Here is a 16527-nt window from a genome sequence, read left to right on the forward strand (position 1 = left end):
CTACTAAAAATACAAAAAATTAGCCGGATGTGGTGGCGGGTTGGCCTGTAGTCCCAGCTACTCTGGAGGCTGAGGCAGGAGAATGGCATGAACCCAGGAGGCAGAGCTTGCAGTGAGCCGAGATCACGCCACTGCACTCCAGCCTGGGTGACAGAACGTGACTCCATCTCAAAAAATATATATAAAATAAAATAAGAATCACCAAATATAGCTTTATTTATTTATTATTATTATTTTTCTTGAGAAGGAGTTTTGCTTTTGTTGCCCAGGCTGCAGTGCAATGGCGCCATCTCGGCTCACTGCAACCTCTGCCTCCTGGGTTCAAGCGATTCTTGTGCCTCAGCCTCCTGAGTAGCTGGGATTACAGGCGCCCATCACCATGCCCGGCTAATTTTTTTTGTATTATTTGTAGAGACAGGGTTTCTCCATGTTGGTCAGGCTGGTCTTGAACTCCTAACCTCAAGTGATCCCACTGCCTTGGCCTCCCAAAGTTCTGGGATTACAGGCATGAGCCACCGTGCCCGGCCTCAAATATAGTTTTTGAATGTACAAAATAAAAAATAAATGAATGAAGTGATTGATACCCTATGATTCTATTGACAGAATGTTGGGATTGTTGTCTGAAACACTAAAGAGGGGACAGGAAAGAGAAATAAATCTGGTAGTGGTCAGCATGCAGAGGTTGATTAAGCCTCTCCAGGGGCAGACATACTTTCAGAGGAGAGGCAGTCTAGTCCCCTTGAGTTTCCTAAGTAAGATGAGGCTCTGACCATGAATGAGTCACTCCAAAAGGTTGTTCCTCACAGCCACAATGTCACACTATAAGCTGGATTCTCCTCTTGGAAGTTATTGCCTGATTTTTTTTTCCACTCAGTCTCTAAGGAGTTCAGAAACCCTGCTCATTCCCACAGAAGTCACCGGTTTTGACCTGACAGAGAAATTCATAGGTTAGTCAGGGGCCTCTAACAGGTTCTTCTCTGGGACCCTATAACCATGCTGGAGACAGAGAATAGAAACGCAGCCCAGATTGTTGTGGGTCTCCCAAGCTCATTGTCAGCAGGCAACCTTTCTGGAAGAAGAATATCTCCAGCAATTTTACTATGGTTCCTTTGTCATTTTCTCTCACAATGTACTCAGTAACAACTATAGATATCAGGCATGTATCTCAGGATAAGCTGATGTTGACAATGGCCACAGTCTGAAGGTTTAAAGGTATGCCTTAACTTATGGCAGAAAACAACTCTTGAAAAAATAAGAATAAAATTTTTAAAGGATTTTCAGCAGATAAAGCATTTTTTTCATGTGAAACTATTTGCATTCTCAATTATAAATTTAATTAAATTTTATTAAAGGTAAAGCAAGATGGACTTCTAATTTCCTATTCTATCTGAAAATCTTCCCTCCTGATTGACTAAAAAGCTCCACACTGGGTAATGGTCTATGGACAGATAAATTTTGACCACAAACACTCGGTGTCTTATTATTATTATATATAGAATATTAATATATCAGATTCTTCAAACTAACTAGTTTCATCAAGAAAATATTTTTATTCTAAGCTCTCTCTTCAGAGCCCCCTTAATCTCCTTGTTCCTGAGGCTGTAGATCAGGGGGTTCAACATGGGAATCACCACGGTGTAGAACACAGACACCACCTTGTTCTGGTCAGTTGAGTAGCTGGACTTGGGCATCACATAAATGAAGGTAATGGTCCCATAGAACAGAGTGACTGCAGTGAGGTGGGAGGTGCAGGTGGAGAAGGCCTTGTGGCGGCCCTTGGTGGAGTGCATCTTCAGGATGGTGATGAGGATATAGATGTAGGATATGGCTATGACACACACAGTGGCCACAATGATAGATCCAGAAGAGATAGCTGGAATTATTTCAAAAGTAAAATCATGGGAACAAGCAAGCTTCAAAAGTGGTGAATAGTCACAGAAAAAGTGATTGACTTTATTTGGCCCACAGAAGGACAGTCTTAATAAGCAGCCAATGAATGTCCAAGCATTCACACATCCACCCAGGTAGGACATGCCCACTAAGATGATGCAGACTCCAGGGGACATGCAGGTAGAGTAGAGCAGGGGTGAGCAGATGGCCACATAGCGATCATAGGCCATGGCAGCCAGCAGGAAGCACTCGGCCGTACCAAACGTCACTACAGAACAGAGCTGGGCCACACAACCAGCAACAGGGAGAGAGGTTTCTTTCCTTAGGAAGCTCATGAGCATGACAGGTGTGACTGATGAGGAGTACCCAATGTCTACAAAGGCCAAATGGCAGAGGAAAATGTACATGGGTGTATGAAGATGATGACTTCTTCTGATCAATACAATTATGCTGATATTACCCATTAAGGTGACAACATAAATTCCTAGAAACACAAGAAATAAAATAGCACAAACTGTAGTATCCTCAGATAACCCCAAAAGAGTAAACTCTACCACAGTGGTGTCATTTCCAGTCCCCATCTATATTGGGAATGGTGCCAACTGAAAGAAAAACAAATGAATATTATAATGGGATTAAATGCTATAATTGCACACTTATTTTTCCAATATCTATTTAACCAAAAAGTATAACAATTTAGGCACTCATGTAAATTTGGGAAGAAAATGCTTTCACACACAGTATCTTATGTAAGACTTTAAAACATAAATGTTCACTGATGTAAGGTCAGGAATACTCAGAAAAATCTTTTTTTTTTTTTAACTTAACACACTCAACTCGTATTGGATGGTTAATTTAGGTGCTCTCTGAGCACATTTCAGAGATGACCACTAGAATATATAAAGAATCCAGTAACTCAATCTTCTAAGGCCAAAGACGTGATTGAAGGGAGACATAAATGTCAGAATAGACCAAGACTCATGGAAAAGAACAGCTGTTCAAAAGGATGTTTGAGGTATCATCTATTGTATCAAAGATGTGTAGTCATTAAGAATTCCGAATTCCAAACAGAGGTCAAACAGATTAGCTGCATGCTAATCCACAGGACCAAGAAGAGGTCAGTAACTCAACACTGAGCTGTGGTCCCCACCCAGAGATTTCACAATTGAGGAAAAGTACACCAAATATCCAGGAAGTCTGGACCGAGGCAGAAGGTGAAGTAATGCACTCACACTATAAACAAGTAAACAGAGGAAGACTGAGGTTTGAAAGAGGAGATGAGATATCTCCTAATTATCTCAGGATCAAGCTATCTGATTCATGATAGTGAGCCAATCTAGAGAAGACATGATCAGGTTACTCCTGGAAGGCTCCAAAGATACAACTTATACCCAAGACTCTGCATAAGCTGGGGCTAGGTTGCTAACAGAAGATTCCAGCCTTCTACAGAACACAAATATCCAGCCCTATCTGAATAGTTGCTGTCTGAAAAAAATTGCATCTGTAGGTCACCTTCTGGAAGGCCCTCCTCCATACCAACTCGCTTGAGAAAAATCAAGAAAATGCAAGAAAAGCAGGAGAGCTTTCTCACAGCTTCAAAAGGTCCTAGAAATAATCCACTCGATTCTCTCACTTTATAAAATTATAAACGGAGATCTAAAAAAGATAGATAATACACACCATTGTCCAACATAACTTTAGATCAAATGGCTTTCTGGAAACTGAGCTAAAATGAAGAACCATATTCTTGGACTTCTAATTCATTTACTATCTTTATTTCACATATTATACATCTTTTCTATGATTTCTAAAGAAGACTATAGACTATCAGAAAGTATATTTGGTTCATTACATATTTAAAAAGGTTTTAAAATTATGCTAACATATAAATAATACATTTACTCTTGAAAGGGGAATTTTGCAGTGCAGTAATTCACATAAAGATGCGGCTGAGAGATAACGACAATTCTTTGAGGCAGGTGATAGTCTCCTTCAGTGCCCAGCACCTAGGGAATTGATATGCTTTTGTTTTCAGCTGAACAGTTGTGAGTGCCTGATAGATGAGGGGTCAAATTTCACTAAGATTTTCTTTTTTCTGAGCAACGAAAGGGACAGATATGGAATGTTAGGGTATATGCAAGGTAGAGAGTAAAATAACCACTACATTTAAGCTAGGCAAAGATGAAGTGAGTACCTGAGATGGGTAAAATCAACAAAATGGTTCTAGCCTTTCTGCAAGGATTGAAAATTTGCTATAATTATTCTACCAGTGAAAACAAGCAGGAAAAACAAGAAATGATGGTAGTTACAGTTTGGGGTGCTTAAAAATGAGATTACGGAAAAGCTACAGTTATTGGCAAATGCTAATGTCTAAACTCTAACAACGGGAGAGACAGGTTTTAGGGAGGAAAACAAATTTTTTTTGAAGATATGTCAAGAAACTAAGAAGCCAAAATGTTGAAAGCAACCTCTATGTGGAGGTATTAAAGCCACCAGGAATAGTGACAGAAATAATGTAAGAAAATGAGTGAGCCAGAGCCAAAAATCTTCCAAAGATGCGGAGACATGATGCTAGCCAGTTGATGACTGCAAATGCATAAGGAGAGAAAGGTAAGATTGGTTAGTATAGTCTGATGACATAAAACTCAACTATGGGTATTTGTAGGTAGGAAGGAGAGAGAATGTCCACAAGCAGCAACAAGGGAAATGGAAGATCCTATCCATCACCAGGTTCGGGGTAAAAGTGGTAAGAGAAAAAAAAGTTCATCATTTGAGAAGGCTGCAGAGAAAACATTGTCCTCAGGGACAGCCAAGTGTCTGTTGAAAAGGACAGTAAGGGAAATGGAATGTTCAAAACCAATACTGAGGACATAAGAAATTTTGTTGATAACTGTGACTGCAGAAGGGCACAGGAAAAAGGCTTCAAGAGTTAAAAAGAGATGGATATGGGACCTCTTGATTCAAGAGAAGGCTTGGATACTTGAAAATAACCTTTCTTAGCTCCAGCTGAATAGAGATGGCATTCTGAGAGAGAGAGTACAGAAGATAATACACACAATTGTCTAACATACATTAGTTGCTACAATTTAATTGCTGAATAGCAGAAGGGAGGGTGAAAGCTAATCCCAAAGTTGTGAAGATTGTGAGGAAGGGGTAATAGGTAAACAACTCAGCTGACCTGGAGTGACTTAACAGTTTTGAGGCAATCCCAGTATCTCACCCAAGGAAAAGTCATCCCTATTGAAGAATTTAAAACCAATGAGAAACACTAGTAGGTAAAATCAAAGGGTCAAAAATCCTGGAGTTAAAAAAACAAAAAAACTGGATTCTGGTGATAGTCATTTCTGAGATTACTGCAGTGGTGACTTCACGTAGATCCAAAACTGCCATTGCTAGTCATGGTTACTTTTATGGAGTATGCATCTGGAATATTACATATGGTCTGTCAAGACTTTCATCTCTACCTATGCTGTTATTTCATATAGGGTTTCAAAAAATTGGCTAGAAATAGAGAACATCTTACTAGGACAGGGAAGAATGAAGATGAACAGATATTATACAAAATGTTTAAACTGAACGTGGAGATATAAGAAAGAAAATTTCCAAAATGAGAAGTTGATTTTTATGAAGGAGAGAAAAATTACCATAAAAATAAAATGTATGCTTCATCATAAATATGAAAAAATATTTGAAAATATATATTTGTGTCTGTATTTGTAGGGTCTCATGACTTTATGAAAAAGCAACCTTTTTGGGTAATAGAAGTTGGGATTACAGCATAGAAAGACCAATATGCACCAAAGGGCATCAGCAAGATGGGGAAGAATGTTGCAGTGGCTGCTACAAAAATAGGGTTGCTGATACAGAAATTCCATGTTGATTGGTTGGGAATATGAGTAAAGAGAAACAGAAGATACAGAGTTTTAAAGTGAATGAAGGAACATAAGCAATTTATCTTGGGCAAGAAATGGCTCCTGAAGGAAATTAACTTTTATCTTATTTTTTTTTTTACTACTCCAGTGCTTTTTAGAAGTCTGAGGATACACAAAATAACTGCTCAATACATGGGAGAATCATCAAGCAGTCACAATTGTGCCCAGTTGGAATGGGCTGCAAATTGGTGACAGCACTATGAAAGAGATTCAGGAATTACAGGTCTACCTGAGCTAATGTGATGCTGTGACATTTTAAAATGATATTCTAGGATTCAGCATAGTAAATTAATCCACTATAGTCTATACTCTACACATCCATATGAAGATAATGCGTGAACTTTCTCAATAGATTGCTTTCACTCTGGAGTCTGCAAACACTTTGCTCTTTGCTTCTATGTATCTTAAGTATCCAATTGATGCCTCTATTAGAATTAAGAAAAAAGAGAAGCAAAAGTGTTTTTTTAAAAAAGTAGAGAGGAATGAATGAAAGGCAGAGGAATATGAAAGGCAGACCATACAGAGGGAGCCAAAAGAGGTGCTATAGCTGATAAGATAAAAGAGGGAATTTTTATTTCACATGTCAACAATTTAATTCCATTTTTATCAATGATATCTTCTTCTATGGAAGAAAATTAAGATAATTCAATGTTTTCCTACATCATTTAATATAAGGTTTATTTACTCTTGGAAACTTCCATTCTTTATTGCTCCTCAACAATAGCAACCACAAAAATTCCCATAATTCTCTCTTTAAAGATCAACCAAAATTAAGGAATAATGTATTTTTCTTTAAAGAATTTGCTCTCAAGCAGACTGAACGCTCTTGCACACATGCACTGCTGTCTCTTTCTCTCTCTCACACACACACCACATGCATACACACACACACACTGGCATCAAAGTCATGTGCTCATCCAGCCACATTATTTTCACACTTTTATTCTGAACTGAGATGCTTGAATAATTTCACGTCTGAATTAACTGATCAATATCATGCTATGTTAAGAACACCATGCAATTACATGTTTGAACTCTGAAGTCCTATCTTCCTTATCTTTGTACAGGGCTTTATTAAGTGGCATGGACCCAAGAATGAATGAATGCTTAAAATTTTAGAAAAGATAGATGTGTATAATAGAAATTCAGAGTCAGTTATACATGCTATTATGGCATGGAAGCAATGTGTTGGACAGAAATGCCATGAGCTTTGGAGACATACGGCCCTGGGATTAGATTCAGCTTTGTCACCAGCAATCTATGGAATCTTGGAAATTTTACATAAACTGTTCAACTCTTCATTACGTTATTTGTTTAAAAAAATACTTCACATGATTCTTGTGTTGAATAAGATGATGTACATGATAATACCAAGTATGGATCATAGAAATAAGTGAATGTTCAACAAATGATTATTTCCTTTAAAAAACTATACCTTAACTTCTAATACAAAAATGAGAAACAAACATTCCTGTATCAATAGAAAAGGGAAATTATTACCTGCAGATGAATGTACATCAGCAATAATAACAAATTGCAAAGAACTGTCACTGTATAGGAAGGTGATATTTATGAGATTTGGGGTCCTTTGGGATATAGCCTCTTGAGTACACTACTTGTTTATAAAAATTTCACTGAAAATTCATCAAGACAATGGAAATTACAGGTACATATGCTCATAAAAATATGTGTTGCTGCTGGGCATGGTGGCTCACACTTGTAATCCCAGCACTTTGGAAGGCCAAGGTGGGAGAATTGTTTGAGGCCAAGAGTTCAGACAAGTTTGGGCAACATAACAAGACCCCATCTCTACAAAAAAAAAATATAAATAAATAAAAGTAAAATTAGCCAGGTGTCATGGCTCATGCCTGTAGTCTCAACTACTCAGGAGGCAGAAATGGGAAGATTGATTGAAGTCAGGAGTTTGAGGCTGCAGTGAGCTAGAATTGCACCACTGTACTCCAGCCTGGGCAACTAAGCAAGACCTCAACTGAAAAAAAAAAGTCTAAAAACATCTGTAAATTTATTTATTTTTAGTATGCATTAGAATTTTTAAATAAAACTTTTTGATGAACTGCTAAATCCCCTGTAACTATATTGAGATTTATAGGAATAAGCAAGAGTACAGTGTACCAGAGTAATTTCTCTTCAAAATAAAAATTCTTCTGGGAAAAAATAAATGTTTATGTTTTCTGTATGTTTCTAGATGATACTACCTTTATTTTTTAATTAAACTTTTTACTTTGAGATTATTGTAGATTTACATGCAGTTTTAAGAAATGAAATTAATACAGAGAGATCTTATATGCCCTCTACCCAATTTCTTCCAATGAACGCATTTTGAAAAACTGTAGTGTAATATCACAACGAGGATACTGGCAGTGATACAGTCAAGATACAGAACATTTCCATGAGCACAATAACCCCTCACATTACTCTTTCATAGCCACAACAACTTCTGTCCCATCCCCATCCCTTCCTTAACTTCAGGAATCCTCTAATATGTTCTCTGTTTCTACATTTTTATAATTTCAAGTATTTTATTATTATGTAACATCCCTTTCTGCCTCTAGTAATTTTCTTTGCTCTGAAGTCTACGTTATTCAATATTAATATAGCTACTGCTTTTCTTTTGATTAATATTTACATGCTATGTCTTTTTCATTATTTTACTTTCTTTTTTGGATTTTGTTTTGGTTTTTTTGAGATGGAGTCTTGCTCTGTCACCCAGGCTGGAGTGCAGTGGCACAATCTCGGCTCACTGCAAACTCCACCTCTCGAGTTCAAGAGATTCTTTTGCCTCAGCCTCCCGAGTAGCTGGGATTACAGGCGCCTGCCACCACGCCCAGCTAATTTTTGTATTTTTAGTAGAGATGGGGTATCACCACATTGGCCAGGCTGGTCTCAAACTCCTGGCCTCGTGATCCAACCACCACAGCCTCCCAAAGTGCTGGGATTACAAGTGTGAGCCATCACACCTGACCCATTATTTTACTTTCAATTTGCCTCTATTATTATATTTGAAGTGACTTTCTTGTAGACAGCATAGAGCTGGGTCATGTGTTTTAGTTCACTTTGCTGGGTGAGGGCTCAAACAGAAACAAGGAACATGCTGTTTTGAAACTGGAGAAAAAGTTATCCTTGTTAGATAGTGACAGAAAGTCTAGCTTAATTTTGACCTACAGTTACATGGAAAGCAGAACTTGTAAGTGATGAACTTGGATGTTTAGATAAGCAGATTTACAAAGTTTTGAAGGTACAGCCTATTGTTGTTTACTCAATGTATTAAAATGTGAGAACAAATTACTTAAAGGTGAAGGACCCTCTTGTCTAATGATGTGAATAGTCATAACATACATGGGAGAACCAGGTTTTCAAAAATGATATAGTTTCAGAAACACCACCAGCTTGTGCTAAAGGGACAGAGACAGAACAAAATGAAAGAAGGCTGTAAGACTCATAAAATTCTACAAGCAGGAAAAGGCTGATAAAACTAATCAGCTACAAATATGTGCTACCTATCAAGAAAAAGAAAGGATAACTTCAAGAACAAACCCTTTGGCCCAAAAGCTGGAGCCTTGGGTCTAGGATTTAGAGCCATGGTGCAGAGGTTGGAGCAGTGCACACAGAAAATATTAGTCTCAGACCCAGAGCATGGAGCATTGAGTCACTAAGTGTTATTCATAGGCCTTGAAATGCCGTGTTTGCCCTGATGAACTTCAGAATTGCTTGGGTCTGATGACCTTTTCCCTCCTTCCACTTCCCCCCTTTTAGAATGTAAATGTCTATTACTGTTACATCATGATGCCTGTATCATCATTATATTTGGGGAACAGATATCTTGTCTTCTTGTTTCACAGGTCCACAGATGGAGAGAAATTTTGCCCCAGGATGGATCATACACAGTATCCTACCTATATCTGATTTAGGTAATTTAGATAATGAGATTTAGGACTTTCAAGCTGATGATATTTAGATGATATTTTGGGCTTTAGTTGATGCTGTGTTGGGTTGAGGCTTTTGAGGATTTGGAGGTGGGATGAACACATTTTACCGTGGAATGAACATAAATCACTGGGGGCCAGAGAGAAGACTGTAGCAGACTGAATAATGGCCCCCAAAGATATCAGGCCCCAATCCATGGAATCTATAAATGTTACCTTACTTTAAAAATGGCCTTTGCATATGTGATTAAGAATCTTAAAATGGAGTAATGGAGTGATTATCCTAGATTGTCTGGGTGGGCCCTAAAAGCAATCACAAGTATCATTATAAGAGAGAGACAGAGGGAGAATGTGACACAAACAGAGAAGGAGAAGGCAATGTGACCAAAGAGAAAGAGATTGGAGTGGTTTGGCCACAGCAAAGGAATGCCAGAAGCCAGCAGAAGCTGGAAGACACAGGAAATGGATTCCACCTTGGAGCCTCCAGAGGGAGTATGGCTCTGTTGCCACCTTGATTTTTGCCCAGTGATACTTATTTTAGACTTCTGGCCTCCAGAACTGTGAAATAATAAGTTTCTGTTATTTTAAGCTTCCAAATTCATAGTAATTTGTTACAATAGCCACAGGAAACTAATACACATGATAACAAATGATCACTCTCTCCAGAGGTCCCAGGGTATTTGTCAAATGAATTCATTTATTCATTCATTCCAAAATATGCACTGAATACTACTATATCCCAAGCTTCCTTGGGATGTAGTGATAAACAAATCAGAAAAAAAATCACTGAACTCATAGAACTTACATTCTAGTATTCTAGTGTTGGGAGATAACAATAAATCATATATATGAATGAAATAAGGAAGTAAACCATGTAAAGGTTTAGGGGGAAAGCTTTTCAAGGAGGTTTTACTCCCTTTAAATTTGAGTAATGCAAAATCCACGAGAAGAATAAGCCACTGAGGCTAGATCACAGTAAGCCAACATTCAAATGATTGTATGTATCTGGTACTAGCAAATTACAGGGGGAAAAGGTACTTTTATACATTATGAAAAATATATGAATTTTCTAAAAACTTTTGGAAAATATCGTGGCAAATTTTATTTAAAATTTCAAGTGCTGTACTCCAAAATTTCACTTTGAGGAATTAATCCTAGAGGTAATAATAACCTGAAAAAATACATATACAAAAAGATGTTCATCACATGATTGCTTAAACAGCAGAAAAATTGCAGTGTCTAGTGTGCATCAACAAAAGAATTGTTGAAAAAATGATGGCACCTTCATCCTATGGATTACTATGTGGACATTAAAAAGATAAAATGTCCCCATATGTTCAGCTTCTGAAACAAGCCCATGATATACTCTTACATTTCCAAAGTCTCTAATATGTTTTTATAACTTATTCTTAACGTTTCATAATCATATTTTCTTATTTTTATATAGCACTTTCTCCTGAATCATTAAAAAGATTATATTTATTTTAATGTGAATTTTATCATGATAGCTTTACAAACTCTCTTTACTTGGATTTATGTTCTGTTGCCTTTTTTCTTTTCTTTACTTCTGGTTTTTGTTTTTATTTTGCTGTTGTCTTTTGAATTTGTCTCTCTTATTTTGTGATTCTAGTAATCCTAAAAGATTTGGGGGGCGGGTTACTATAAGTGCATTTTTATAATGGGGATTTTCTGCTGAACTGCCCACTGATTCTTACATGGGAAAGGTGCAAAGACAGTGGTACTGCTCCCTGTTTCGTTAGGCAGGGAAATAGGTAAGATGAACAGCTAGGAAAGGTACCTCAGCCACCTGTCTTCTGGGTTTTACTACCATACCTCGACTCTGCCCAAAGCACTGTTTCTGCTTAGAGACAGACACCTCGATCACTGCTGCCTCTTCCTTTGGAAGAGGTATTGGAATAGAAACAGGAATAAACTAGCCTGGCTTCTCTCCCTACTTATATCCTTGTGCATAGTCTGGAGCTCCTCTGTGTTTTACTCCTTTTTGAAAGGAATATTCCTGGTGTTTTAGTAAACCCTCCATGTGATTCTGATCCACACCAAAGTTTAAGAATCACGACCTCAGTGTTCTCAATCTTGGCTGAATATCAGAACAACATGGAAAAATTAAAAGAATACTGCCTGAACCCTTTCCCAAAGATTCTGTTTTAATTGGTATAGGGTATGGCCCGTGCACTGGGATTTATAAAGACTCCTCAGGTGATTTTGATATCCAGGTAACTTTGTGATCCACTGCTCTTATCGTTTCCAAATGCATGGATGAAATATCACTGTATGCAGAGTCCCGTCTGTTCTGTCTAGATGTTTAGATGAGCCGGTTAGTAGAAATTCATTCTGGAGTCAAGATCATTGACCAACCTTACTATTCACAGAGCTAATGAGATATGTGCATCCATTTTCATGAGTATTTCAGAGGGAAGACTGGGAGGATCCTGAAACATGTATTGTCACTTTCTATTATTGTAACCCAAAGTCTTGAAGTAATACCTTACTTGGACCACAAAGTATTTTAATTATTCATTCATTCATTCATTTGGCAGATATTTATTGAACATTAACAGTGTTTCAAACTCTCTTCTAGGCACTCAGGATAAAATAATGAACTAGGCAGACAAGGTTCCTGCCCTCATGGAGCTTATATTTTAGTAGGTAAGGCAGATAGTAAACTATAAACAAATGCATGATAACATAATGACCAATTATAAGTGCTACAGAAGAAATAAACAGGAATTTTTTTATAAGTTAACTTTCTGTAATGGCATTCTAAATTCACTCAGAAGCCCAAGCCTTCCCATGACAGATCATATATATCTAAATCTATATCTATATACATATAATATGTGTATGTGTGTTTGCTTAAAGTATATCAAAAAGACTCTCTGGTCCTCAAAGTAAAATGAACACAGAGAAGTTAAAAAAATCTACCTGAAATCACACAGAAAATGCTGAGACTGGGATTTGAATGTTAGCGCTGTAGTCTGGTTCTGAAGCCTGTATTTATAACTCCCTCACAACCTTTTTTTTTTTTTTTTTGAGACGGAGTCTTGCCCTGTCTCTCAGGCCGGAGTACAATGGCGCGATCTCTGCTCACTGCAACTTCCACCTCCCGGTTTCAAACGATTCTCCTGCCTCAGCCTCCCGAGTAACAAGGATTACAGGTGCCCATCACCACACCCAGCTAATTTTTGTGTTTTTAGTAGAGACAGGGTTTCACCATGTTGGCCAGGCTGGTCTCAAACTCCTGGCCTCATGATCCGCCCGCCTCGGCCTCCCAAAGTGCTGGGATTACAGGCGTGAGCCCCAGCACCCAGCCTCCCTCACCACTTCTTAGTCAACTGTACCTTGGGATAAAATATTAATATGAAATATCCTTTTTTGTCCCTTTTAACAGTTTTTACCTTGAAATCTATTTTGTACTCTCTTATGTTGTTATGCTTTCTTTATTCTGTTATAATTTTTCCTGGTAATATCTTTTGAGAGGAATTTATTTTCAATCTTCCTCTTCCAAGTTCAAACCAACCTACCGAATTGCCTTTTCCATTTTTCCATCATGGATGGGTCTTTTGCTCCATTTTTTTACCTCATAGGTAGTTGAGAAGATATAAACCCTCTTTCTATTATTCTAATATTATCTTAAGACAAAGGGTGATCAAGTTAACATAATTCTGAGAAAGATTTTATATATATATAAAATCTGTTTATATATATATAATCTGTTTATATATATAAAATCTGTTTGTTTATATATATATAAAATCTGTATATATATATATATATATATATATATATATATATATATATATATATATAATCTATTCCACAATCATTCTTTCTGATAAGGAATGGAAAAGAAGGTATTTGCCAGATCAATTGCCCCATACCACGTATTTGAGGCTGTAATAATCTCTAAGCAAAGATACCACACATGTAGCACAGCAGCTGCATTTGGGGTTAATGCTTTGTTGAATTTGTAGGATCTTTCCGGTTTTTGTAGGAACTACACTGGTGAATTAAACGAAACCTTTAAGAACCTAATGATACCACCACCCTAGTATCATTAGGTTCTTAAAGATGGCATTGATATCTGCCATTTCCCTTTGAGATTAGATTTTTATTTTTTAGTAATTTGGCCAGGAAATGGGCAGTTTCAGAGGCTTCCACTCAGGCTTCACTACTATGATGGCTCTTAAAGCTAATAAATCAATGTGGATATTCTGCCCATTACTACTATTCTACCATTTTGTTCATTCCATATACCTTTTGAGAACAAAGAAATAGCACTGGATGGGTCCATGCATTCATGGACATACATAGGCCCTGGATCCCATTTATTATCTGGCCCTCCTATACCCTAAAAGTGGCCACGATGAAGCTTTAGGTCATAGGTGTCAATGTCAATTCAAATTTCGCATGTTATAAGCCTTGATAAGTTTGGATATTTCTGTTTCCCCAGGATTTAGTTACTCCAGTAATGACCATAGTTCTCTTTGAGGAAAGGCTATATATATATAACTCCACTGGCCAAAGGCAAAAATATATATATAACTGCACTTTCAGGGTCCTTGATCATAGGTCCTGGCCTCTTCTTCAGTCAGAGGGCTCTGAGTCTGAAAACTGGTTCAGGTGTGGAAACTGGGCAAGAGATCACCTGTTTTTGTTTGAGCAGCTATAATCACCCCCCTCTAATCTCTATCCTTGATTTCTTTTAATTGTGTAGATTGAGCATGTTGTTGTTGTCTACCCATTTGTCTTATCTCAGAAACATCATTTACTTTTATTCTGATGCCATATCATCTCCATTTCTATCAAAGGTTCACTTCTGTAATGACATCATTACAATCAGCCCTATCCTACAGAGGATAGCCACCACTGAGCTTCTCAGTGACATTGGTGTCCTTCTCACCAGCATATTCCTTTTGTTTAGTAAACAGAATGTCCTCTGGGACCTTATATGGAGCCTAGTTATCTGGTGGACTTTTCATTTTCACGTATTTATTCTAGCAAGTGCTCTTCTCTAAGCTTTTCTATCCCTCCTTCTACTGTCTTCCACAGCAGTTCTGACATTTCTACTTAGTGTGCGTCACCAATTTCTGCAAGTTTCTAAAAGCCATCGTAGCAGCTTCTTTGCATCATATGCTGTGATCTTTACCAAGATATTAAATCCTATAGTAAGGGAGAGGGCTCCAACACTGATAAATTATCTCTTATCCAATTTGATGTCTGACCCTTTGATTCAGCATGTACTCTTTTCAGCTCCTGATTCTACATGTTGACTAGGTCCTACAGCTCCCATAGCAGACTCAGCCTTTTCCCTGTTAGGTTATGTTATGATTTACCCTTAGTTATAATCAAGTGGTTAAGAAAAGGTAGGGACAGAGTTTAAGGAGAACATATGTTGTTTTGCAAGATAGCATCCTCTGTTTTATCTTTATCTACGGGTGGAACACAAACATTTAACAGGGAAGAATCCAGAGGGTTTAGAAGAATCTAGTGATTCAAGATTTTTAAATGCATCAACACAGATACCCCTATTCCATGACTCAGTGTCTCATTCTTTCCTAATTAAGATCTTGAACTTAGTAGTCAAGCTGCAGTGGCTTAAAATTCTAACATAATGTCTACTTCTCTCATAATCAAGTCTTAAGCCTGATTCCTAGCCTTTTACGTTACAGGCTACAGGAGATGCTAGACTCCAAATGCTATAAGGAGGGACTGTGGCTCTCAAATTTAACTTTTAGTTGGTAATTAATCAACTTCAGCCTTTCAAAGTCTTTCTCAAAACCCTCTACTGTTTCTACAACAGACATCCAATTCCATTGCCCTTATAATTACTATTTCCCTTTTATGTCTCAAATACTTAATACATTTAATCTGCCAGTGCCTTCTTTTCTACTAGTATGTCATCCCTATTTACCACCGGATAAAGTGTTAATAATTATAGCACTAAGGGCTGCTCAAACTCCACTTACCACCAGTGATGGAGTCCTCATTTCCAGCCAGCTGGTGGGTGATCCAGCTCCAAACTCCAATTTTATATTATATTTTTTACTACCTGTTATGAGCTGAATGTGTCCCTTCAAAAAATCACACGTTGAAGCTCTAACCCCCAATGTGATGGAATTTGAAAGTGAGGCCTTTGGGAAGTAATTTTGTTTCTATTAGATCATGATGGTAGGATCCTGGTGATTTGATGGTATTAGCGCCCTTATAAGAAGGAAACTGATCTCTCTCTCTCTCTCTCTCTCTCTCTCTATCTCTCTCTCTCTCAAGCTTGCACCAAAGAAAAGCCCTAGGAGGACATAGTAAGAAGGTGACTGCCTACAAGCCAGGAAGTGAGCCTTCCTGAGACACCAAATCTGCCAGTATCTTGACTTTGGACTTCACAGTCTCCAGAACTGTGAACTGTGAATAATAACAGATTAACAGGTTAATCTATCCAGTCTACGGTATTTTGTTATAGCTGAGAAGCAGTCTGAGATAGAGATTTGTATATAAGATATTTATTAGGAAGTGTTCTCAGCATTCACTCCTGTAAACACTGAAGCAGAATTAGGTAGAGAGAGAAGCTGGCCTACAGTGCAATCACAGCAACGGCTTCAGCAGATCTCACAGGGAACACAGTCACTGGGATGGCCCTGCAAGTGGTTTCCAACTTAAGCAATGTGTTTGGGCCTTTATGCCAGTGCATCGACTAGCCTCAAATTGGAGCAAGGGGGAATGACCTACTTCACCCAAAGACAATT

The 16527-nt window shown here is 37.8% G+C and overlaps 1 protein-coding gene across 1 annotated transcript; it reads right to left on the minus strand.

The window, feature by feature from the left end:
- Positions 1 to 1316: 1316 nt before the first annotated feature.
- On the minus strand, positions 1317 to 7339 carry OR5P3 (olfactory receptor family 5 subfamily P member 3). Its single transcript, NM_153445.2, has 2 exons — positions 7323 to 7339; positions 1317 to 2492 (listed from the first exon to the last, which is right to left on the minus strand). The coding sequence occupies exon 2, from the start codon at positions 2469 to 2471 to the stop codon at positions 1536 to 1538; it is 936 nt and encodes a 311-aa protein (NP_703146.1). The 5' UTR covers positions 2472 to 2492; positions 7323 to 7339; the 3' UTR covers positions 1317 to 1535.
- Positions 7340 to 16527: the final 9188 nt, after the last annotated feature.

The sequence above is a fragment of the Homo sapiens genome, chromosome 11 (genome assembly GCF_000001405.40).
Source record: "Homo sapiens chromosome 11, GRCh38.p14 Primary Assembly".
Taxonomy (NCBI): domain Eukaryota; kingdom Metazoa; phylum Chordata; class Mammalia; order Primates; family Hominidae; genus Homo; species Homo sapiens.

What these genes read in the sequence shown, in the direction of transcription:
- OR5P3 (NM_153445.2), bottom strand. Translation starts at nt 2,471, where the DNA reads ATGGGGACTGGAAATGACACCACTGTGGTAGAGTTTACTCTTTTGGGG.